This window comes from Homo sapiens, chromosome 16, assembly GCF_000001405.40.
Source record: "Homo sapiens chromosome 16, GRCh38.p14 Primary Assembly".
Lineage (NCBI taxonomy): Eukaryota > Metazoa > Chordata > Mammalia > Primates > Hominidae > Homo > Homo sapiens.
Window position 1 is genome coordinate 68,859,408 of NC_000016.10, and position 23,645 is coordinate 68,883,052.

Genomic DNA, 23,645 nt, shown 5'->3' on the forward strand with positions numbered 1-23,645 from the left:
CAACCATCCCACTTTGGCCTCCCAAAGTGCTGGGATTACAGGCATGAGCTGCCGCACCTGGCCAGAGCCTTTGTTCTGTTCAGTGCTTTATCCCCAGCACCTAGAACAGCTGGACTGAGTGCATGTTCTATGGTAAATGTTCAGCTTTTATATTTCTGTTCTGGCTACAATTTAAGCCCAGTAAGATGATTAAGACCTGGTCTCTGCCCTAAAAACATGTGGGGAATAGAAACAAACTAGATGAACTGTAACGTTAGTACACTACTCCAATTACATGCAAAGTGCTGTGGGAAGGCAGAAAATGTGGTCTTAAATTCTTCATAGGCTGGGTTGGTACCCCTGGGGGAGGCTTTCCAGAGCCAGTGACAGTGGCGCCCGGCCTGCGAGGATGAACTGGAGTAGGCAGGGCATTCCACAGGGGGAAGTGCAGCTTGTTTTCTATGTGTATAAACTCTCCTTTTTTTCTTCTTCAAAAGGCTCGGGCTCAAGTTCACTACAGGTCACAAAACATGATGTCTTGTTGGCTACTTTAAAATCTAACCTGTCTGCTTTGGAGGACAAGTTTCTGAAGGATCCTCAGTGGAAGAATCTGAAACTCCTAAGAGATGAAATTGCTGATAAGGCAGAATGGCCACAAAACTCTGTGGATGTCACTTGGAGTTTTACCTCTCAAACCTTGTTGTTGCTTTTGTGCTTGAAGGAAACCATGATCCGCCTTGCAGCTAATTTCAATCCAGGTAAACCCAACCCTAGGACTCCGGAAGTTGCTCCTGCCCTGAGCCCCGATGCACTTAGTATCTCACAACAGAAGACTGTCCAGTTCGTTTTGCAGTTTGTAGTTACCTTGGGTATCTGCCCCTATCTCATGCCTGGTGTTGGAGTCCCTTTGAGATATAGAACTGAATTTGGTGCCGTCGTTCAAGACGTGGTGTGTTTTGATGCTGCCCCCGATGCAACTCGAAGACTGTACACCAGCTGCAAGGCCCTTCTGAATGTTGCTCAGCACACATCTCTGGGGAGCTTGATCTTCTGCCACCACTTTGGGGATATCGCAGCAGGTCTGTGCCAACTGGGATTCTGCCCAACCAAAAGAAAACTGCTAACACCTGCAGAAGAGGTAAATATACATTGAGAAAGAGAGAGGGAGAGATTGTGTGTGTATGAATGTGTGTATATATTTGTGGATAGTTGTTATAAAAGGCAACTCTTAGTTCTTCAGAACTGGATATGCCAAAGCATATCCAATGGATAAATGAATCTTTTGGGGGTGGGCGCAAGTTTCATTTATTGGGTTCTCGTCCTTTGCACACCTGTAGAGTCCATTTCACCTGTCCCTTGTCATTTTGGGAAACAGCTATAGCAGGCTGTTTTTCTTTGAGCCTCTGTTTCTTCTTCTATAAAATGTGTATCATAATACCTGCCTCGGAAGGTGGTTGTGAGGATTAAGGATAATGTGTGTCAAGTATCTGGCCCAATCTCTAGTAGTGATAATTCCTACTGATATTAGTATCATGGCTCCCTCATTAAATGCTTGGGAGGGTTAAATGAAATAACACATATAGAGCACCTGGTACACTGCAGAACTCTGTCAATGTTCATTGTTATTATTAGGTGTTAGGGGTATATGCCCATTTTTGCTGTCACTCAGTCCAGTAAGCAGTTGAGCATCCAGACTACAGAAGTTGCTGTGGAGATCATAGACACATAAGACATGGTCCTTTTCTTCAAATAACTCACATGCTGACTGGGGAGATAAGACTTACAGGGATGACGCAGCAGGAAGCACTACCCCCGCCATGAGAGGACCACTGGCATCAGCATAGGCACTGGCCAGCAGAAGCCGTTAAGATGTAAATGTCTCAAGGGTCAGTGCGGCCCCCAGGCGCAGTGATTCCGCAGCCTCCACAGCCAGGTTTCACAATGTTCTCGTTTCTCTGTCACCCGCCTGTGTCATCGTTGTCGTTGTTCCTTTTCTCTTCTCTCTCCTGCCTACATTCATAAACATTTGCCTAAAAGCCACTATCATCCAAGTGTTGGCATGAAATTCTGAGCTCCCTGGGGCCTTTATGTGATAGGAGCAGAGTGCGTCCTCCTTCCGGCAGGGTTATGCGTATTGACACTTCTAGCAGCACCTCCTGCCTGCACTTCCCTGAGGTAGTGTGACCCAGGTTGACAGGTCTTATTACTGTTACTGAGGCTAAACTGTGCCCAGGGATCTCAGGCAGGAGAGAGAAATGAAAAGGGAAACACAGAGAAAGAACCAACTAGGACGGCAAGAGAAGGAGTTGACAGAGGGAAAACATGCTGGGTGTACATTATGAAGCTGGACAAAGTCCCACCAATAGCTGTGTTCTAAGTAGCACCCATACCTCAGTATGTGAAACGGTAATGGGCAGGACCCTGACTGTTTGACCCTGAGCAGTAATCACCAAGGAGAACTGTACTGTTATGGCTCAAGGGTACCCCAAAATTGTACCCCCTCTTTGCTGCCCAAGTTCCAAATGAATTAAAAGAGAGTTAAGAAGAGTAAGAGAGATAAACAATGTTACCTCTATTGCTCATAAAGGCAAAGTTGGAGGATATAGCTTATAGATGGAGACATCTATTTTTTTTTAATTTTTTTTTTATTTTTATTATTATTATTTTTTGAGACGGAGCCTTGCTCTGTCACCTAGGCTGGAGTTCAGTGGCACAATCTTGGCTCACTGCAACCTCCGCCTCCTGGGTTCAAAAGATTCTCCTGCCTCAGCCTCCCGAGTAGCTGGGATTACAGGCATGTGCCACCATATCCAGCTTGCTTACTTACTTATGTATTTATTATTTTTGAGATGGAGGCTTGCTCTGTTGCCCAAGCTGGAGTGCAGTGGTGCAATCTTGACTCACTGTAACCTCCGCCTCCCGGGTTCAGCTTCCTTAGTAGCTGGGATTACAGGCACACACCACCACGCCTGACTAATTTTTGTATTTTTAGTAGAGGCAGGGTTTTGCCATGTTGGCCAGGCTGGTCTCGAACTCCTGACCTCAGGAGATCCGCCCCCCTCGGCCTCCCAAAGTGCTGGGATTACAGGCGTGAGCCACCACGCCTGGCAGGAGACAAAACAGTGCTCTTCAGAATTAGACACTGTCACTACTCACCCATTTTAAGGCGCACTGGAAAACTGCAGCACCTTCTGCAGGGGATATGCCTCTGAAAAATACCCAGCAAGAAAGAGCAGAAGAAAATGTGCAGTCACTGTCAAAAGACAGAAGAGGAATGAGCTGAGAGATGCTTGCCAAAACCAGCCAGTAAGTGAGTTTACTCCATCCTCAGCCGTAAGATCAGTCTCATAACCTGCCCAGAAGTGGAGTGAGCGAGATGGAGAGAGGACCAGGAATGTTTTAATAGTACAGCTTCCCCCATGTGGAAGGAAATCAAGAGAGGATAGAAGCCTTCTTTCCGCTCCTCTCACAAGTATCTCTGTACAGTGTTGTAAAACTTTACCTTCTATTGTCTGCCTGGTTTGAATTCCACTAAAGCCAAGTGCATATTTCTTTTAGGTTCTAACTGAAGAGGAGAGAACCCTATCCAGGGGGGCCTTGAGAGACATGCTGGATCAAGTCTATCAGCCCTTAGCAGTCCGGGAACTGCTTATCCTCCAGGGAGGACCACCCCAGGTACTCAGGCCTAGGGACTCTTGGGGGTGACTCATTAATGATAATGTGTGGTTTGCTGTCTTCTTCTGGAAAATTAAATAACTTTAGTTCCCTGTTTAATGATCTAGTTGAGCCTTTTTTCATCTTTTAGATCATAAAATGATATTTATAAAACTAGATGACGCTGACCCTTAGGATAATTTAAAAGACCTTTTCTCTAATGAAATGATGGACACTTTTCCCAAGAATATTATGATCACTTTTTTTAAGACTTATGGCAATTTTGGCTGGGCACGGTGGCTCACGCCTGTAATCCCAGCACTTTGGGAGGCCGAGGTGGGCGGATCACCTGAGGTCGTGAGTTCGAGACCAGCCTCAACATGGAGAAACCCTGTCTCTACTAACAATACAAAAAAACAATTAGCTGGGTGTGGTGGTGCATGCCTGCAATCCCAGCTACTTGGGAGGCTGAGGCAGGAGAATTGCTTGAACCTGGGAGGCGGAGGTTGCAGTGAGCCGAGATCATGCCATTGCACTCCAGTCTGGGCAACAAGAGTGAAACTCAGTCTCAAAAAAAAGACTTATGGCAATTTTATGTGAGATATATTTTATTCATTCTGAAACTAGATCTTCTCTTTTTTTAACTAAAATTTGCTGTTTGACAAAACATTCTTTTAGCACAACTATCTGGACACTAATTCTTTGAATGGATAATGTATTTGAAGTCAAGAAATTAAAACTAGATATATTATTGGTTCTATTCTTAGTTCCTTTGTTTCAAACATGTAGTAGTATATATTCTGCTAGGGATAAGATAGTTTCTTTGTTTTCTTAAAAATAATGTTTATCTGAGGCCGGGCGTGGTGGCTCACGCCTGTAATCCCAGCACTTTGGGAGGCCAAGGTGGGTGGATCACCTCAGGCCAGGAGTTCGAGACCAGCTTGACCAACATGGAGAAACCCTGTCTCTACGAAAAATACAAAATTAGCCGGGCATGGTGACGCATGCCTGTAATCCCAGCTACTCGGGAGGCTGAGTCAGGAGAATCGCTTGAACACAAGAGGCAGAGGTTGCAGCGAGATGAGATCACGCCATTGCACTCCAGCCTGGGCAACAAGAGCAAAACTCCGTCTCAAAAAAAAAAAAAGTTTATCTGAAATGATTTAATTTGATGATATAGATGGAATTGTCTGTTTGCTTTTAGTACCTACATTTTCGTTATGAATCTAGGTGTGTAAAGAGTGAGGAGCCAGCCAGGCACTGTGGCTCACACCTGTAAACCCAGCACTTTGGCAGGCTGAGGCAGGAGGATCACTTGAGGTCAGGAGTTTGAGGCCAACGTGGGCAACATAGCAAGACCCCTGTCCCTAGAAAAGATAAAAAATAAAAAACTAGCCAAGTGTGGTAGCATGCACCTGTAGTTCCAGCTACTCTGGAAGCTGAGGTGGGAGGATTCCTCAGGCCCAGAAAGTTGAGACTGCAGTGAGCTGTGATCGGGCCACTGCACTTCAGCCTGGGCAACAGAGTGAGATCTTGTCTTTAAAAAAAAAACAAAAGAAAAAGAGCGAGAAGCCAAAGGAATTAGCTGTAGGTCAGGAGCAAGGACCAGCTGAAGCTGGCTACAGAGATATCTCCTAATTGAGTAATTTTCATCTCATCCTTAGAATCTTACTGTAAGCCTTCCATCAGGCCTCTCTGGCATTCAACCCCCGTGTGCAGGTGTTTGAATTTGTAAACCTTTCCATTCTTCAGGTTTCTTACCCATAAGATAGGGATAATTACAATGCCTTCCTTGTAAGTCCCTTTTGAGATTATATGGGAGTTGCTTATGATGTGCCTGGCACACCATAATCCCTCAGTAAATGGTAATAATTCAATAAAAGAGAGAGGACAGGAGAGTTAGGATGAAATATTTCTGTTACTAATTTTGAGGCTTACATACTTAAGTGCAGTGGTGCCGGGCGTGGTGGCTCACCCCTGTAATCCCAGCACTTTGGGAGGCCGAGGCGGGTGGATCACGAGGTCAGGAGTTCAAGACCAGCCTGGCCAAGATGGTGAAACCCTGTCTCTACTAAAAATACAAAAAATTAGCCGGGCGTGGTGGTGTGAGCCTGTAATCCCAGCTACTCTGGAGGTTGAGGCAAAGAATTGCTTGAACCTGGGAGGCGGAGGTTGCAGTGAGCCCAGATCGCGCCACTGCACTCCAGCCTGGGCTACTGAGCGAGACTCCGTCTCAAAAAAAAAAAAAAAAAATGCAATGGTTGACAGCAACATGATCAGTGTTCTAGCCCAAAATAAGGGCTAGAACATTCAAACTGCAGCACCTTCTGCAGGGGATAGGCCTCTGAAAAGTACCCAACAAGAAAAAGCAGAACAAAATATGCACTCACTCTCAAAAGATAGAAGAGGAACTGAGATAGAAGAGCTGAGAGGTGTATGCCAAAACCAGCTAATAAGTGAGTTTACTCCACCCTCAGCAATAAGGGACACCAAGTCTATTTATTCACAGTGGCTCCACAGAACTCCCAGAAAGGGGTCCTTGAAGAAATCCACTATCTTTCTTGCAGATCATACTGGGGCAGGAAAGAAATACAAAAGAAATCCGGCCGGGCGCGGTGGCGCACTTTGGGAGGCTGAGGTGGGTGGATCACAAGGTCAGGAGATCGAGACCATCCTGGCTAACACAGTGAAACCCCATCTCTACTAAAAATACAAAAAAAAAAAAAAAATAGCCTGGCATGGTGGCAGGTGCCTGTAGTCCCAGCTACTCAGGAGGCTGAGGCAGGAGAATGGCGTGAACCCAGGAGGCGGAGGTTGCAGCGAGCCGAGATCGTGCCACTGCTCTCCAGCCTGGGCAACAGAGCAAGACTCCGTCTCAAAAAAAAAAAAGAAATCCAACTCTTTCTTTGAACTGTGTCACAGGAATCAGAGTTGCTAATGCCACAGAGGCAAGGGCTGGAATGCTCCCTCCCTGTTGTGAACTACCCTCTTAGTGGCAAATAACGTTCATAAGAATCTTCCTTGGAAGCTGGATTTGTTTGTCAGAGCTACATTCAGAGATTGTTTGCATTAACTTTGTGTTCCGAAGATCTACATTTTAATTGCTGATGCGTTTGTCTGTTTCTGAGTTTGAAATTTCATTGATTTTTCACTTTCACTGTTTTTTACTTTCTTAAAAGTAATGCAGAAGAAGGTTTTGTAAAGTTTTTTTTTTTTTTAAGGAAAAAATGTTGCTCTTTTGAAGTCTGTATAGCACACTGTTAATTGTCAGTATGACTCAGGACTTTTAAAAAATAATGTCGGCCGGGCGCGGTGGCTCACGCCTGTAATCCCAGCACTTTGGGAGGCCGAGGCGGGTGGATCATGAGGTCAGGAGATCGAGACCATCCTGGCTAACAAGGTGAAACCCCATCTCTACTAAAAATACAAAAAATTAGCCGGGCGCGGTGGCGGGCGCCTGTAGTCCCAGCTACTCGGGAGGCTGAGGCAGGAGAATGGCGTGAACCCGGGAAGCGGAGCTTGCAGTGAGCCGAGATTGCGCCACTGCAGTCCGCAGTCCGGCCTGGGCGACAGAGCAAGACTCCGTCTCAAAAAAAAAAAAAAAAGTAATGTCTAGCTGGGCACGGTGGCTCACGCCTGTAATCCCAGAACTTTGGGACGCTGAGGTGGGTGGATCACCTGAGGTCAGGAGTTCGAGACCGGCCTGGCTAACATGGTGAAACCCCATCTCTACTAAAAATACAAAAAGTACCCAGGCATAGTGGCACGTGCCTGTAATCTCAGTGACTCAGGAGGCTGAAGCAGGAGAATCGCTTGAACCCGGGAGGTGGAGGTTGCAGTGAGCCGAGATTTTGCCACTGCACTCCTGCCTGGGTGAAGAGTGAAACTCCATCTCTAAATAAATAAATAAGTCTGCATATCATAGCTATTTCTCCTTTTTTTTTTTTTTTTTTTTTTTTTACAGGCATGAGCCACTACGCCCGGCCATCATATCTATTTCAGTGACATTCAGAATTCACACCTTCTTCTTTTTCTCAGTCCTGCACAGATGTGAAGACACAGATGAGGTGTCGGGCCCCAGCTTGGCTTCGGCGTCTATGTGGACAGCTGCTCTCTGAAAGGTTAATGAGACCTAATGGTGTTCAGGCAGTAGTCCGGGGCATTTTGGAAGGAGCAGGTGGTAAGAAATAAAATGTTGCTGTGACTTTGGTATCTGTTTTCCTTTGAGTCAGAGTCTGAGGTGAATTATTGGTCTTTAGTATTTACCTTTAAAACCTGACTGAAACTAAACTCCATCCTTGCAGGGATTGAACAGGTTAAACTTAGAGGCCGTTAATGAGCTTCTTTTCCAAAGAAACTAATTCTCTTGCTCTTTTCCTAAAACACTTGTGATACACTGCCTATTTTATTGAACAATATTGTAAGCCATTTCAAATAATTTATACTATCTGGGGAAAACATTACACAGAAAATTGAAGTAAAAACCCTAAAGTAAATGTTAAATAAAGCTAGGTGTGGGCCGGGCGCGGTGGCTCACGCCTGTAATCCCAGCACTTTGGGAGGCCAAAGCAGGTGGATCACTTAAAGTCAGGAGTTCAAGACCAGCCTGGCCAACATGGTGAATCCCCGTCTCTACTAAAATACAAAAATTAGCCTGGCATGGCGGCGGGCGCCTAACCCCAGCTACTTGGGAGGCTGAGGCAGGAGAATCATTTGAACTTTGGAGGTGGAGGTTGCAGTGAGCCAAGATCGTGCCACTGCACCCCAGCCTAGGTGACAGAATGAGACTTTGTCTCAATAATCATAATAATAATAATAAAGCCAGGTGTGGTGGCTCACACCTGTAATCCCAGCACTTTGGGAGGCTGAGGCAGAAGGACTGTCTGAGGCCAGGAGTTCAAGACCAGCCTGGGCCACATAGCAAGACTCTGTTTCTACAAAAAAAAAAAAAAAAATAGCCAGGTATGGTGGTGCCCGCCTATGGTCCCAGCTACTTGGGAGGCTAAGGCAGGAGGATCACTTGAGCCCAGGAGTTCGAGGCTATAGTGAGCCATGATCATGGCACTGCATTCCAGCCTGGACAAAAAAAGCAAGACCTTGTCTCAAAAAAAAAAAAAAAAAGTTAAATGTAAAATAATTTTCTTGAAGCCAGAAATACCTTTGAGATGCAAACTTTGGGATGAAGTTTTAGAGTCATTTCCCTAATTATATTATCTAAGTTCTCATTAATAGGAAAAAAGTTAATGCTAAGCATGGTAGTAGTTTTTAATTTATGTTTTTTATTTTTTAGAGAAAATTAGACATGTACATCATTTAAAGTCAAATAGTTCTCTGAGACTTATAGTGAAAAATAGCAGTCCTCGGCATCATTCCAATCCATTTCCCATTTCTAGAAGCAACTGCTTTGAACTCTTTCAGTGAGTTTTTTCTGGTATTTACCTCTATATTTCTATTTTTTTTTTTTTTTTTTTTTTTGAGACAGAGTCTCGCTCTTTCACCCAGGCTAGAGCGCAGTGGCGTGATCTTGGCTCATTGCAACCTCCACCTCCCGGGTTCACTCCATTCTTCTGCCTCAGCCTCCTGAGTAGCTGGGACTAAAGGCGCCTGCCACCACGCCCAGCTAATTTTTTGTATTTTTAGTACAGATGGGGTTTCACTGTGTTAGTCAGGATGGTCTTGATCTTCTGACCTCGTGATCCACCCACCTCGGCCTCCCAAAGTGCTGGGATTACAGGCATGATCCTGGCCATTTACTTCTATATTTCTAACTAATATATGGGAATTCATAATTTTTTCAGTTTCAGGCATCATGTATCTACCTCTCACCATGTGTGGAAGAGGATCTTGTTCTCTTTCATAACACTGCCATCATTCCCCCAAGTACATTTTTATTTTCACATCTCCGTAATATATTTATATCTCAGTTTTGGTTAGATCAATATTCAGTGTTTATATTAGTGTAACTCTGTGATTATTATTTACAGCTGATCTATATTGTATATTATGATTACTTTCTTTTTTTACATAATCTTTTGTACTTCCTGGAGTTAATCTTTTTTTTGTACATCTGATTAGTTTTCTATGTGCTTATCACTAATCTTTTCTCAAGCTGTCCCTCTTTTGTTTAAATCTCCTTTTAATACACTGAAAAACATCAAATAGGCTGGGCATGGTGGCTCATGCCTATAATCCCAACACTTTGGGAGGCCAAGGCAGGTGGATAGTTTGAGCTCAGGAGACCAGCCTGGGCAACATGGGGAAACCCCATCTCTACCAAAAATACAAAAATTAGCTGGGTGTGGTGGTGCGCACCTATGGTTCCAGCTACTGAGGTGGCTGAGGCAGGAGGATTGCTGGAGCCCTGGAATTTGTGGCTTTAGTGAGCCATGATCACACCACTGCACTCCAGCCTGGGTGGGAGAGCGATATCCTGTGTCAAACAAACAAACAAACAAAAACCCACCAGATATTCTATCAGTTTTATCTTCTTGGAAACATCTTTCTCTGGGTCTTCTGACTTGCTTTACTCAATCCTGGTTACCTTCTACTCAGCTGCCATCCAAGGATCCCCTTCACTTTTATCCTGGTGAACACTTTGCCTTTTTTGTGTGTTCAGTCTCTTATCTCCCTTATCCCCTGCCTGTTAGTTTCCTATTGTTACTGCAACAACTTACCACAAACTTAGTGGCTTTTTTTATGGAAATGGCATTTAAACTGAGCCCTGAAGGCTGAGTTGGAATTAACTAGCTGAAGAGAGAGGGAAGATAGTTATAGGCAGAGAGAGTAGCATGTATGAGGAACTGAAGTAGAAATGAGCATAGTGCTTCTGAGGAAATCTCCACGTGGGTAGAGTAGTGAGGGCAGAGTGCAGGTAGAGTGGTGCGCAGTGAGTGGGGATGGTGGCTGGGGGCCACCTCAGGGAGGCCTGATAGGCTGAGTTCAGGATGTTGAACTTTATTCTGAGGGAGATGCGAAACGATTAACAGTTTTAAGAAAGAGAGAACATGATCAAATCTGCAGTTTAGAAATATCTATCTGGAGGTATTGTGAAGAATGGATTGGGTAAGAGCAGAAGCAGGGAGATCAGTTAAAAGGCAGACATCTGAGGAATCACGGAGGCTTGGATTAATGCAGTGGTCATGGAAATGGAGAGAAATGAATGGGTTTGAGAGATATTTAAGGAGGAGAGTTGCCAAAACTTAACGAAGGGCTGGATATGTGGGGAAGAAGGAAGAGAGCTAGAAGAATAAATCTTGACTTCATTTCTGGCATAATGTACCTTGGTCCCATCAGACAAAAGTGAGGTCAGTGTGGTTGGCAGACGTTGGTAGATTTGGTCTAGAGTGGCTATAATATTGCCTCCCCTCAGTTCTCCCCACAGTGGCTTCTAGGGCCAATGAAATAACAAATGATCAGTTACCCATAAGAAGTTGTCCCTTACAAACAGGTCTTTGCATCTTCCTTTTCCAAGAAGGGTTAGACCTCACTTAAGGGCATGCAGATTTGAGAGCTACTATAAGAAAATCAGAACCCTCTTTTTCCTATGAGTTCCCCCAACTTGTGCATGTATATATTTGTTGTTATCTATTCATACCTTGTTTCTTTCCCAAAATGGTTTGAGGCAGGTTTATATTGACCTGCATATTTGCCATTTCTGGTGGTCTTTATTTCTTTATGTAGATCAAAATTTCAGTGCAAACTTCCTTCTGCCTGAACTTTAGTTGCCATTTCTTTTAGTGTAGGTCTACTGGCAATGAATTTCTTTTTTTTTTTTTGAGACGGAATTTCGCTCTTGTTGCCCACGATCTCGGCTCACTGCAACCTCTGCCTCCTGGGTTCAAGCGATTATCCTGCTGCAGCCTCCCAAGTAGCTGGGATTACAGGTGCCAGCCACCACGCCCGGCTAATTTTTTTTTTTTTTTGTATTTTTAGTAGAGACAGGGTTTCACTGCGTTGGCCAGGCTGGTCTTGAACTCCTGACCTCAGGTGATCCACCTGCCTCGGCCTCCCAAAGTGCTGGGATTACAGGTGTGAGCCACCGCACCCGGCCTGGCAATTAATTTTCTAGCTTTTGTTTGTCTGAAAAAGTCTAGTTCATCTTCCTTTTTGAAAGATATTTTTTATTGGGCATAGAATTCTAGGTTGACATTTATTTTTTCTTTTAGTACTTTAAAGATATTCTGTTGTCTTCTGGCTTGTGTCATTTCTGATGAAAAGTCTGCTATCATTCTTATCTTTGTTCCTCTATAAATGATATACCATTTTTCCCTCTGACTGCTTTTAAGATTTTTCTCTTATGGCTGGTTTTTAGAAATTTGATTATGATGTACCTTGGTGTGGTGTTGGTTTCTTTATGGTTTTTTTTCTGCTTTTTGGAGCTGTGGGTTTATAGTGTTTGCCATATTTGGAAATTGCTCAGACATTATCTTCAAATATTTTTTTCTGTACTCCCCTCAGATCTCTCTTTCTGAGATTTGAATGACACCAAATATTATGTTTACTGTTGTCCTGCCAATTACTAATGCTCTTTTTGTGTGTGTCTTCTTTTCTCTATGTCTTTTTTATTTTTCTCTGTCTTTAAAATTTTTTTTTCCCCAGAGACAGGGTCTTGCTCTGTCTCCCAGGCTGGAGTGCAGTGGCATGATCTTGGTTCACTGCAACTTCTGCCTCCCAGGTTCAAGCAATTCTGGTGCCTCAGCCTTCTGAGCAGCTGGGATTACAGGCATGCGCCACCACACCCAACTAATTTTTGTATTTTTAGTAGGGACAGGGTTTCGACATATTGCCCAGGCAGGTCTTGGACTCCTGGTCTCAAGTGATCCACCCACCTTGGCCTCCCAAAGTGCTGAGTTTACAGGCGTGAACCACTGTGCCTGGCCAAGGGCAAATTTTTAATAGTTGTCTTAATGGGCCAGGCGCAGTGGCTCAAGCCTGAAATTCCAGCACTTTAGGAGGCCAACGTGGGCGGATCACGAGGTCAGGAGTTTGAGACCAGCCTGGCCAACATGGTGAAAGCCTGCCTCTACTAAAAATACAAAAAATTAGTGGTGCGTGCCTGTAGTCCCAGCTACTCAGGAGGCTGAGGCAGAAGAATCGCTTGAACCTGGGAGGTGGAGGTTTCAGTGAGCCGAGATCTCGCCACTGCACTTCAGCCTGGGCGATAGGGTGAGACTCTTGTCTCAAAAAAAAAAAGAAGTTGTCTTAATGGTCTTGTCTTCTAATTCTGTTATCTCTGTTTTTTTGGGGTCTGTTCTACTGATTTTTTTTTCTTTTTTTTTTGAGGCAGAGTCTTGCTCTGTCACCCAGGCTGGAGTGCAATGGCACGATCTTTGCTCACTGCAACCTCTGCCTCCCAGGTTCAAGAGATTCTCCTGCCTCAGCCTCCCAAGTAGCTGGGACTACAGGTGTGCGTCCTCATGCCCAGCTAATTTTTGTATTTTTAGTAGAGACAGCGTTTCACCATGTTGGCCAGGCTGGTCTTGAACTCCTGACCTCAGGTGATCCGCCCGCCTTGGACTCCCAAAGTGCTGGGATTACAGACATGAGCCACCGCCCACAGCCGGTTCTGTTGATTTTTTTATTCTAATTATAAGCCATATTGTTTTCCTTCTTTGCATGCCTGGTAATTTTTTTTTTTTTTTTAGATGTTATTCACATACCATAGAACGGTGGCGCGATCTCAGCTCACTGCAACTTCCCAGGCTGGAATGCAGTGGCGCGATCTCGGCTCACTACAGCTTGCGCCTCCCATGTTCAAGAGATTCTCTTGCCTCAGCTTCCCGAGTAGCTGGGACTACAGGTTTGTGCCACCACACCCAGCTAATATATTTTTTTAAATTTTTAGTAGAGATGGGGTTTCACCATGTTGGCCCGGCTGGTCTCAAACTCCTGACCTCAGGTGATCCACCTGCCTCGGCCTCCCAAAGTGCTGGGATTACAGGAGTGAGCCACCGCACCCGGCCAGAAGTCACTTTTTTTTTTTAAAGAGTACAGTTTGGGGTGTTTAGTATATTCACAGAGCTGTGCAGTCATCACCAATATCTATTTCCAGAACATTTTCCTCAACCCTCCCCCCATGTCCCCCCAAAGAAGCCCTCATACTCACTAGCAATCACCACTCCTCATTCTCCCCTCCTCTCAGATTCTGGTAAGTACTACTTCACCTCCTGGTCTCTTTGGATTTACCTGTATTGGCATTTCATACAATACATGGTCTTTGTGTCTGGCTTCCTTTACTTGGCATAATGTTTTTGAGATTTATTCATGTTTTTTGTTTGTTTGTTTGTTTTTGAGACAGAGTTTTGCTCTTGTCACCCAGGCTGGAGTGCAATGGCATGATCTCAGCTTACTGCAACCTTCTTCTGCCAGGTTCAAGCGATTGTCCTGCCTCAACCTCCCAAGTAGCTGGGATTACAGGCGCCCACCACCACATCTGGCTAATTTTTGTATTTTTAGTAGAGACGGGGTTTCACCATGTAGGCCAGGCTGGTCTCAAACGCCTGACCTCAGGTGATCCACCTGCCTTGGCTTCCCAAAGTGCTGGGATTACAGGTGTCAGCCACCGTGCCCAGCCGAGGTTTAGTCATATTATAATATGAATGAATCAGTCCTCCATAAAAATTATTCCTTTTTATGACTGAATAATAATTCCTCATGTGGATATGCTTGGTAATTTTTGACTGGATGCTGAACATTTTTATTCTACATTGCTGAGTGCCAGATTTTTATATTCCTTAGTTGGACTTTGTTCTGGAATGCAGTTAAGTTACTTGGAATTAGTTTAGTCCCTTTGATCCTGGCTTTTCAGCTCTGTTAGTGTGGTTCTACAGCAACCTTTAAGGTAATTTAACCCCTTTTTGTATTATACTAAGTGTGTTGTACTAAGTGTAACAATACAGATTGTACTAAGATAATAGACTTCTGAGAATTCTAGTTGTTGCCCTGTGTATTAGGAGATCCTCCCAGGCTGGCTGGTGGGAACACAACTCTTCCCAGCCTTTATGAACCGTGGGGGTTGTTCCCCCCTACTCCTTTCTGGTGGTTATTGCCCCAGGCTTTGGTATTTTCCTCACACATACGTGTATCATACTCTACCAAAGACCTGAGAGAGGACCCTTTTGCAGATCTTTGGAACTCTCTCTACATGTAACTTCCTCCCTTCTGGTATTTTGCCCTGAAAATTCCAGCTGCTTTGGCCTCCCTGAACTCTGAACTATGTTTCTTCCACTGAACAAGATGCCAGGCTTCATTTGGGCTGCTATTGTTATCGCCTGAAAACTCTCTCCAGTCAGTGAACGAGGGCAGTCGTCAAGCTCAGTTTGTTTGCTTCCGTTCTCTCAGGGATCAGTGTCCTGGGCTGCCTGTTGTCCACTGTCTGGAAACCATTGTTTATATATTTTGTCCAATTTTATAATTGCTTAAGACGGTAAAGTAATTCTGGTCCCTGTCACTCTACGGCTGTGGCTTAAGACAGTTTAAATGAAATGATACATACAAGGAGACAGAATAATAATAGTAATAAACATGGTGAAGCTAGTATTCCAGTTATATGAATAATATCATTATAGTGACTAAGTGCTAGTTTTTCTCTGAATTTCCCAGAAACTAGCATCAAAAGGAACGTATAGGCCAGGCGCGGTGGCTCATGCCTGTAATCACAGCACTTTGGAGGCTGAGGCGGGCAGATCACCTGAGGTCAGAAGTTCGAGACCAGCCTGGCCAACATGGCAAAACCCTGTCTCTACTAAAAATAGAAAGGAATTACCTGGGCATGGTGGTGTATTCCTGTAATCCCAGCTACTCGGGAGGTTGAGGCAAGAGAATCGCTTGAACCTGGCAGGAAGAGGTTGCAGTGAGCTGAGATCATGCCACTACATTCCAGCCTGGGTGACAGAACAAGACTCCGTCTCAAAAAATAATAATAATAAATAAATAAGAAATAAAAAACATAAAAAGGAAAGTATAGAAGGGTAGATTATCTTATAGAAAAAAATAAACTATTTTCAATAGAAAAGATAAATGCATTTTACCTTAAATTTTAAGACAAATTTGTTACATGGGACCTTCTGTGGGGAATTGCTGTGAGCTGCTAACATCTCTCTCCATTGTGCCAGCGGGAGCAGCTGGTGGAAGTGATGCTGAGGTGACGGCTGCTGACTGGAAGAAGTGTGACCTGATCGCAAAGATTTTGGCCTCTTGTCCCCAGCAGTCTCTTTCACCAGAGAATTACTACAGGGACATCTGCCCCCAGGTAAATCTTTTTGTTTCTATTGATCATTTGAGGATTATCTGCTTATTTACAGAAAGAGGACTTTTAATGTTCCTCTAGTATTGAGATAAAAGCAGTATAATATTTAAGTTTATTGTTTAGTGAGGAGCCTTCTTAATAAATGAATAAAAACCGGTGGAAGAGACTGACCTAATTGTTCAGTTTAAGAATGACGAGGCCAGGCGCAGTGGCTCACGCTTGTAATCTCAGCACTTTGGGAGGCCGAGGCAGGCGGATCACCTGAGGTCGGGAGTTCGAGATTAGCCTGACCAACATGGAGAAACCCCGTCTCTACTAAAAAAAATACAAAATTAGCTGGGTGTGGTGGCGCATGCCTGTAATCCCAGCTACTTGGGAGGCTGAGGCAGGAGAACGGATTGAACCCGGGAGGCGGAGGTTGCCGTGAGCCGAGATTGAGCCATTACACTCCAGCCTGGGCAACAAGAGTGAAACTCCGTCTCAAAAAAAAAAAAAAAGAATGCCTCACCACTACTAAATGATTTGCCCAGCTTGCTCTCAGAGCTAGAATACGAAACTCAAGTTTCATCTTGTTCGTTATCTTTTCTCTCCATGTGTTTTTAGTTAGTTTTTAAAGGCAGATATTAAATAAACAAGGTAAATTAACATGGCAAACAATTTAAAAAGCATAAAAGAGTAAACCGAAAACTAAGTCTCCCTACCATTCCTGTTCTCCAGTCCCTCAGAGGTAGTCACTGCTATGAATTTCTTTCCAGAGATATTCTGTGTATTATGCATATACCATCATATGTGCATATGTTAATGTATGTATATATTAACATGTATGTGCATACACACATACATTAACATATACACATGATGGTACAATTAATGCTAATTTTTTTTTTTTTTGAGACAGAGTTTTGCTCTTGTTGCCCAGGCTGGAGTACAATGGTGCGATCTTGGCTCACCACAACCTCCACCTCCCGGGTTCAAGCGATTCTCCTGCCTCAGCCTCCCGAGTAGCTGGGATTACAGGCATGCGCCACCACACCCGGCTAATTTTGTATTTTTGGTAGAGATGGGGTTTCTCCACGTTGGTCAGGCTGGTCTCGAACTCCTGACCTCAGGTGATCCGCCTGCCTCGGCCTCCCGAAGTGCTGGGATTATAGGCGTGAGCCACCATGCCAGGCCAGTGCTAATTTTTATCTAAATGATAGCATGCAGCATGCCCTCTTTTCATTTTGCTTTTTTTCATTGATAGTGTACTTTGGCCAGGCACAGTGGCTCACTCCTGTAATCCCAGCAGTTTGGGAGGCTGAGGTGGGCAGATTACTTGAGGTCAGGAGTTCGAGACCAGCCTGGCCAACATGGAGAAACCCCAACTCTACTGAAAATACAAAAATTGGCCAAGCGTGGTGGTGCACACCTGTAGTCCTAGCTACTCAGGAAGCTGAGGATAGAGAATCTCTTGAACCTGGGAGGCAGACGTTGCAGTGAGCTGAGTTTGCACCAATGCACTCCAGCCCGGGTGACAGAGCGAGACTCCATCTGAAAAGAAAAACAACAAAAAACACAGTGTACCTTGGAGATCATTTCATTCATTTTCATGGGTACATGGTATTTCATCATATTAATGTACTGTAATTTATTTAACCAGCCTGTTATTGATGCACATTTGAGTTGTTTCCATTCTTTTTCTATTACAAATTATGCTACAGTTAATATCCATAAGTCTTTGTACATAACTACCAGTATTACCATAGGAAAAATTCCTAGAATTGAAATTATTGGTTCAAAGGTTTTATGCATTTAAATTTTTGATCGATATGCTTTATGTACCTATTTTCCCACATTTTTACCCACACAATGTGTTACAAACTTTTTTGATCTTTGCAAATCTGATACATGAAAAATGTGGGGCTGGGCACGGTGGCTCACGCCTGTAATCCCAGCACTTTGGGAGGCTGAGGCGGGCGGATCACGAGGTCAAGAGTTTGAGACCAGCCTGATCAACATAGTGAAACCCCGTCTCTACTAAAAATACAAAAATTAGCTGGGGGTAGTGGCATGTGCCTGTAATCCCAGCTACTTGGGAGGCTGGGGCAGGAGAATTGCTTGAACCTGGGAGGCGGAGGTTGCAGTGAGCCGAGATTGCACCACCGTATTCCAGCCTGGGCGGCAGGGTGAGACTCCATCTCAAAAAAAAAAAAAAAAGGAAAAAGAAAAATGTGGAGGGAGTTTTCTTAATATTCCCTATGCGTATGCCTAAAATGAGCCTGTATTTTATAAATTTGATAAAATTATTTAATAAAAACACTGCAAGTATGAGAGGTGGGCAAAAAAAATTTTTTTTTTTGAGATGGAGTCTCGCTCTGTCGCCCAGGCTGGAGTGCAGTGGCGCGATCTCCGCTCACTGCAAGCTCTGCTTCCCAGGTTCACACCATTCTCCTGCCTCAGCCTCCTGAGTAGCTGGGACTACAGGCGCCCGCCACCACACTCGGCTAAGATTTTTGTATTTTTAGTAGAGACAGGGTTTCACTGTGTTAGCCAGGATGGTCTCGATCTCCTGACCTTGTGATCCTCCCGCCTCGGCCTCCCAAAGTGTTGGGATTACAGGCGTGAGCCACCACACCCGGCCAAAAAATTTTTTTAATTAAAAATAAAAACACTGCCTGTTCAGCTCTCTTACCCTTTGATACTGGGTATGTTAAATTAAAAGAATTCTGTTGAATCAGTGTTATTGAGGTGAATTTATTTTTTGTCTTAAAGAAATTCATGCTTTTTGTTTTTAGTTACTGTCATATTCCTTGCAAAAAACTGGTATTTACTTCTTGTAGTTTTTTTGTAGGTTCTGGATTTATTTCACTTTCAAGATAAATTGACAGCACGACAATTTCAGAGAGTTGCCACCACTACCTTTATAACTTTGTCAAGAGAACGCCCACATTTGGCAGCAAAGTATTTGCTCCAGCCAGTGTTAGCTCCTCTTCATCGATGTTTGAATACAGCAGGTAAAGGAGGAAGTGTGGTGGCTGTGTGTGCCTCTAAAGGACCTTCTTCAGTATTTCACGTTGAAATGATTTAAATCTGTGTTATATCAGTCTCTTTAGTTTTCCTTCCCCTCCCCCCAACTTTTTATTTTGACAAATTCACTTACAAGTTTCAAGAAGAGTATATTGAACTACCCATATACAGATCACCTAGACCGAATAACTTTACATTTTGGCCACATTTATTTTATCTTTCTCTCTTTCTATACATATAAACATGTCTTTTCTGAAGCATTTGAGACTTAGTTGCAGACATCACAACACTTCACCCCTAAATACTACAGTATGCATCCCCAAAGAAAAATGTCAGTCTCCTACATAACCACAAGGCGATTACCACACTCAGGAAATTTAACATTTATACAATATGCTTTGATATAATATACAAATTCCATTCAAACTTCTCTAATTGTTTCAATAATTTGTTTTAGAGCTATTTTTTTTTTAATCCAGAATTCAATCAAGAATCATGGCTGGGCGTGGTGGCTCATGCTTGTAATCTCAGCACTTTGGGAGGCTTAGGCGGGCAGATTGCTTGAGCCCAGGAGTTCGAGACCACTGGGGCAACATGGCAAAACCCCGTCTTAACCAAAAAACAGTATAAAAATTAGCCAGGCATGGTGGCAAGCACCTGTAGCCCCAGCTAGTTGGGAGGCTGATGTGGGAGGATCGCTTGAGCCTGGGAGGTTGAGGCTGCAGTGAGCCATAATCACACCTCTGCACTTTAGCCTGGGCAACAGAGTGCAACCCTTGCTCAAAATAATAATAATAATATATGATAAAACTATGTCTAAATAAATAGAAAGACTTATTATAAAACTTTAAAAACTTTTTTTTAAATTTTTATTTCTGTATTGTCCAGGCTGGTCTGGAACTCCTGGGCTCAAGCGATCTTCCTGCTTCAGCCTCCCAAAGTGCTGGGATTGGTGAGGTGGGAGGATCACTTGAGCCCAGGAGTTTGCAACCAGGCTGGGTAACATAATGAGACCCTGTCTTTAGAAAAAATTTTAAAAATTAGCTGGGCGTGGTGGTGCACGCCTGTATTCCCAGCTGCTCGGGAAGCTGAGGTGGGAGGATCACTTGACCCAGGAGGTTGAGGTTGCAGTGAGCCATGATCACACAGTTCCACTCCAGAGCCTGGGTTACAGAGCAAGACCCTGTCTCAAATAAATAAAAATAAAATATAACTATTTTAAAACTTTTTGAAGGGAAATTTTTAAACACATATTATAGAGATTATATAATGAACTCCTATGTACCTGTCACCTAGATACAACTATTAACTCTGCCATTTTCTTTCTTTTTTTTTTTTTTTTAGACAGAGTCTCACTCTGTCACCCAGGCTGGAGTGCAGTGGCATGATCTCGGCTCACTGCAAGCTCTGCCTCCCAGGTTCATGCCATTCTCCTGCCTCAGCCTCCTGAGTAGCTGGGATTACAGGTGCCCGTCACCACGCCCAGCTAATTTTTTGTATTTTTAGTAGAGATGGGGTTTCACTGTGTTAGCCAGGATGGTCTCAGTCTCCTGACCTTGTGATCCGCCTGCCTCGGCCTCCTAAAGTGCTGGGATTACAGGCGTGAGCCACCACACCTGGCCAACTCTGCCATTTTCATTTCATCCAATCCCCAATTTTTATTCAATTAAGTTTAAAATGAAAAAAAATTTTTTTTTGAGACAGAGTCTCACTCTGTTGCCCATGCTTGAGTGCAGTGGCACAATCTCGGCTCACTGCAACCTCCGCCTCCCGGGTTCAAGCGATTCTCCTGCCTCAGCCTCGTGAGTAGCTGGGACTACAGGCCTGCCCCACCACACCCGGCTAACTTCTTATATTTTTAGTAGAGATGGGGTTTCACCATATTGGCCAGGTTGATTTCAAACTCGTGACTTTGTGATCCGCCTGCCTTGGCCTCCCAAAATACTGGGATTACAGTTGTGAGCCACCACACCTGGCCTAAAATGAAAATTCTAAGTGATAATGTGCTATAGGTAATTGGCAACGTTGGTGTTTTTTCTTAGTGATACATAAAATAACAATGCATGTTTATAATCAGTGGCATCATATATTCCATGAAATGTGTATGAATTGTGTATTGTTCAATGATAACCATTTTCTGATCTTAGGTGTTACTTACTGAGCCATCTTTCTAGTAAAGCTTCCTTCCTTAGCTTTAGTATGTCCTATTCAGTGAGGCACTAAATATGGGTAATTTTGTGTGTTTATTTTCTAGAGCTTTCAGAGAGTGACATGGTACCAGGAACTATTTTGGTGACAGAAGAAGAACTTAGTAGATGCATTGAGGATGTGTTTAAGGTTGGTAATCTGAGTCACTAATGTTTTTATTTACTTCTTATTTAAAATTTTTTTTAAATTTTTTCTTTTTTTGTAGAGATGGTGGGGTCTCACCACGTTGCCCAGTCTGGTCTTGAACTCCTGGCCTCAAGCGATCCTCCTTCCTTAGCCTCCCAAAGTGCTGGGATTACAGGTGTGAGCCGCTGCTCCCAGCCTTTTAAAATAATTTTACCTTTTAATTAGCACTTGAACCGTTGGAATGACTAATCTAAAGCTCCAAGCTGTCTGGTTTTCACTTTGAAAACCAGAAACTGTAAGCTGACGTTTTTTGTCTTTTGTTGTTGTTGCTTTTCCTTTTTGTGGAGAATGAGGTCTCACTATATTGCCCAGGTAGGTCTCGAACTCCTGGGCTCAAGCTATCCTCTTGCCTCTGCCTCCCTAAGAGCTGGGATTACAGGCGCGAGCCACTGCGCCTGGCAAGCTGACCTTTTTAAGTGAAAAAACTGATATATTTTTGAAACCCTGTTAATTACATCATTTATTCTAAATGTTGAAATAGTTTAGTTTCTCTAACTGGCAAATGCCGCTGATGAAAGCATGTCTATTGAAGAAGTTGACATGGAGCCGGGCATGGTGGCTCACGCCTGTCATCCCAGCACTTTGAGAGGCCGAGGAGAGTGGATCACCTGAGGCCCGGAGTTCAAGACCAGCCTGGCCAATATGGCGAAACCCTATCTCTACTAAAAATACAAAAATTAGCCGGGCCTGGTGGCACACACCTGTAATCCCAGCTACTTAGGAGGCTGAGACAGGAGAATTGCTTGAACCCAGGAGGTGGAGGTTGCAGTGTGCCGATATCATGCCACTGCACTCCAGCCTGGGGGATAGAGCGAGACTCTGTCTCCAAACAAACAAACAAAAAAAGAAATTGACAGGGGCTTTTTCAATACTATAGTCTTCCTAAAAGTGTATGATAATTGAATCTACTTTATAACTTTTGATAGTAATTACTGTCATAACAAATTAAGTCTGAATAAATGATTCCTGCAAATGACTACATAAATATATAACAAGAATGAAAATTTGCTTTTCTATTCATAGAAAAAAAGTGAATGAAAACTAAGAATCTAAATGTTATGTTCTTTATTATCACAGCCTTATAAATATATGTGGTATATGCTTTTGGAAAGCAAATGAAATTCATTGTGTTATGGCTAGATGGAAGTAGGATAAATATTCTTTAAAGTTTATTTTAGGCCCAGTGTGGTGGCTTATGCCTATAATTCTAGCACTTTGGGAGGCCAAGGCAGGAGGATTACTTGAGGCCAGGAGTTCAAGACCAACCTGGTGAATATAGTGAGACCCGAGCTCTATAAAAAATAAAAATAATAAATACAATTTATTTTAATAAATTTATAATAATTTACTGCTGAACACTTTTACATTAGAAAACAGCTTTCAAAACTGTATTTCATATAAAAAGGTACAGCTGCTTTGGAAAATAGTTTGACATTTCCTCAAAAAGTTAAACCTGGAGTTATCATATGGGCCCAGCAATTCCACTACTAGGTATATACCCAAGAGAAATGAAAACTTGTTCATATAGGCCGGGCACGGTGGCTCACACCTGTAATCCCAGCACTATGGGAGGCCGAGGCGGGCAGATCACGAGGTCAGGAGATTGAGACCATCCTGGCTAACATGGTGAAACCCCGTCTCTACTAAAAATATAAAAAAATTAGCCGGGCGTGGTGGCAGGCACCTGTAGTCCCAGCTACTCGGGAGGCTGAAACAGGAGAATGGCGTGAACCTGGAAGGCAGAGCTTGCAGTGAGCCGAGATCGCACCACTGCACTCCAGCCTGGGTGACAGAGCGAGACTCCGTCTCAAAAAAAAAAAAAGAAAACGTGTTCATAGAAAAACCTGTATGTGAATTTAGTAGGTAGGACAGGGAGCAATTACAAATGACACAAGGGATCTTTTGATGACGGAAAGGTTCTAAAATTGTATTGTGATGGTTTTGCAAATCTGTAAATTTACTAAAATTCACTGAAGTGTATATTTAAAATAAATGATTTTATGGTTTTTAAGGTATACTTCAATAAACCAGTTTTATTAAAAAAAAAAATACTTGGCACGATGGCTCATGCCTGTAATCCCAACACTTTGGGAGGCCAAGGCGGGCGGATCATGAGGTCAGTAGATCAAGACCATCCTGACTAACATGGTGAAACCCTGTCTCTACTAAAAATACAAAAAATTAGCCGGACGTTGTGGTACGCGCCTGTAGTCCGAGCTACTCAGGAGGCTGAGGCAGGAGAATCACTTGAACCCGGGAGGCGGAGGTTGCAGTGAGCCGAGATTGTGCCACTGTACTCCAGCTTGGAAAACAGAGCGAGACTCTGTCTCAAAATAAATAAATAAATAAAAATACAAAGATTAGC

The 23,645-nt window shown here is 43.5% G+C and overlaps 1 protein-coding gene across 3 annotated transcripts in view, besides 1 other annotated feature; it reads left to right on the top strand.

Moving 5' to 3' along the window:
- TANGO6 (transport and golgi organization 6 homolog) overlaps window positions 1-23,645 on the top strand; it is a 241,652-nt gene that overhangs the window by 15,877 nt on the left and 202,130 nt on the right. For all 3 annotated transcript variants that reach the window (NM_024562.2, XM_047434632.1, XM_011523327.4), the window contains exons 2-7: window positions 477-1,117; window positions 3,538-3,654; window positions 7,672-7,813; window positions 15,747-15,883; window positions 18,711-18,873; window positions 21,141-21,223. In NM_024562.2, the coding sequence (NP_078838.1) occupies window positions 477-1,117; window positions 3,538-3,654; window positions 7,672-7,813; window positions 15,747-15,883; window positions 18,711-18,873; window positions 21,141-21,223 (1,283 nt within the window). The remainder of the gene's footprint in view (window positions 1-476; window positions 1,118-3,537; window positions 3,655-7,671; window positions 7,814-15,746; window positions 15,884-18,710; window positions 18,874-21,140; window positions 21,224-23,645) is intronic.
- Window positions 7,354-7,513: a silencer, noted in NCBI's record as "fragment chr16:68900664-68900823 (GRCh37/hg19 assembly coordinates)". NCBI's record gives its function as "represses an EF-1alpha promoter that drives an FKBP-Casp9 reporter gene in an ReSE screen in HepG2 liver carcinoma cells {active_cell/tissue: HepG2}" and the evidence as "EXISTENCE:reporter gene assay evidence [ECO:0000049][PMID:32094911]".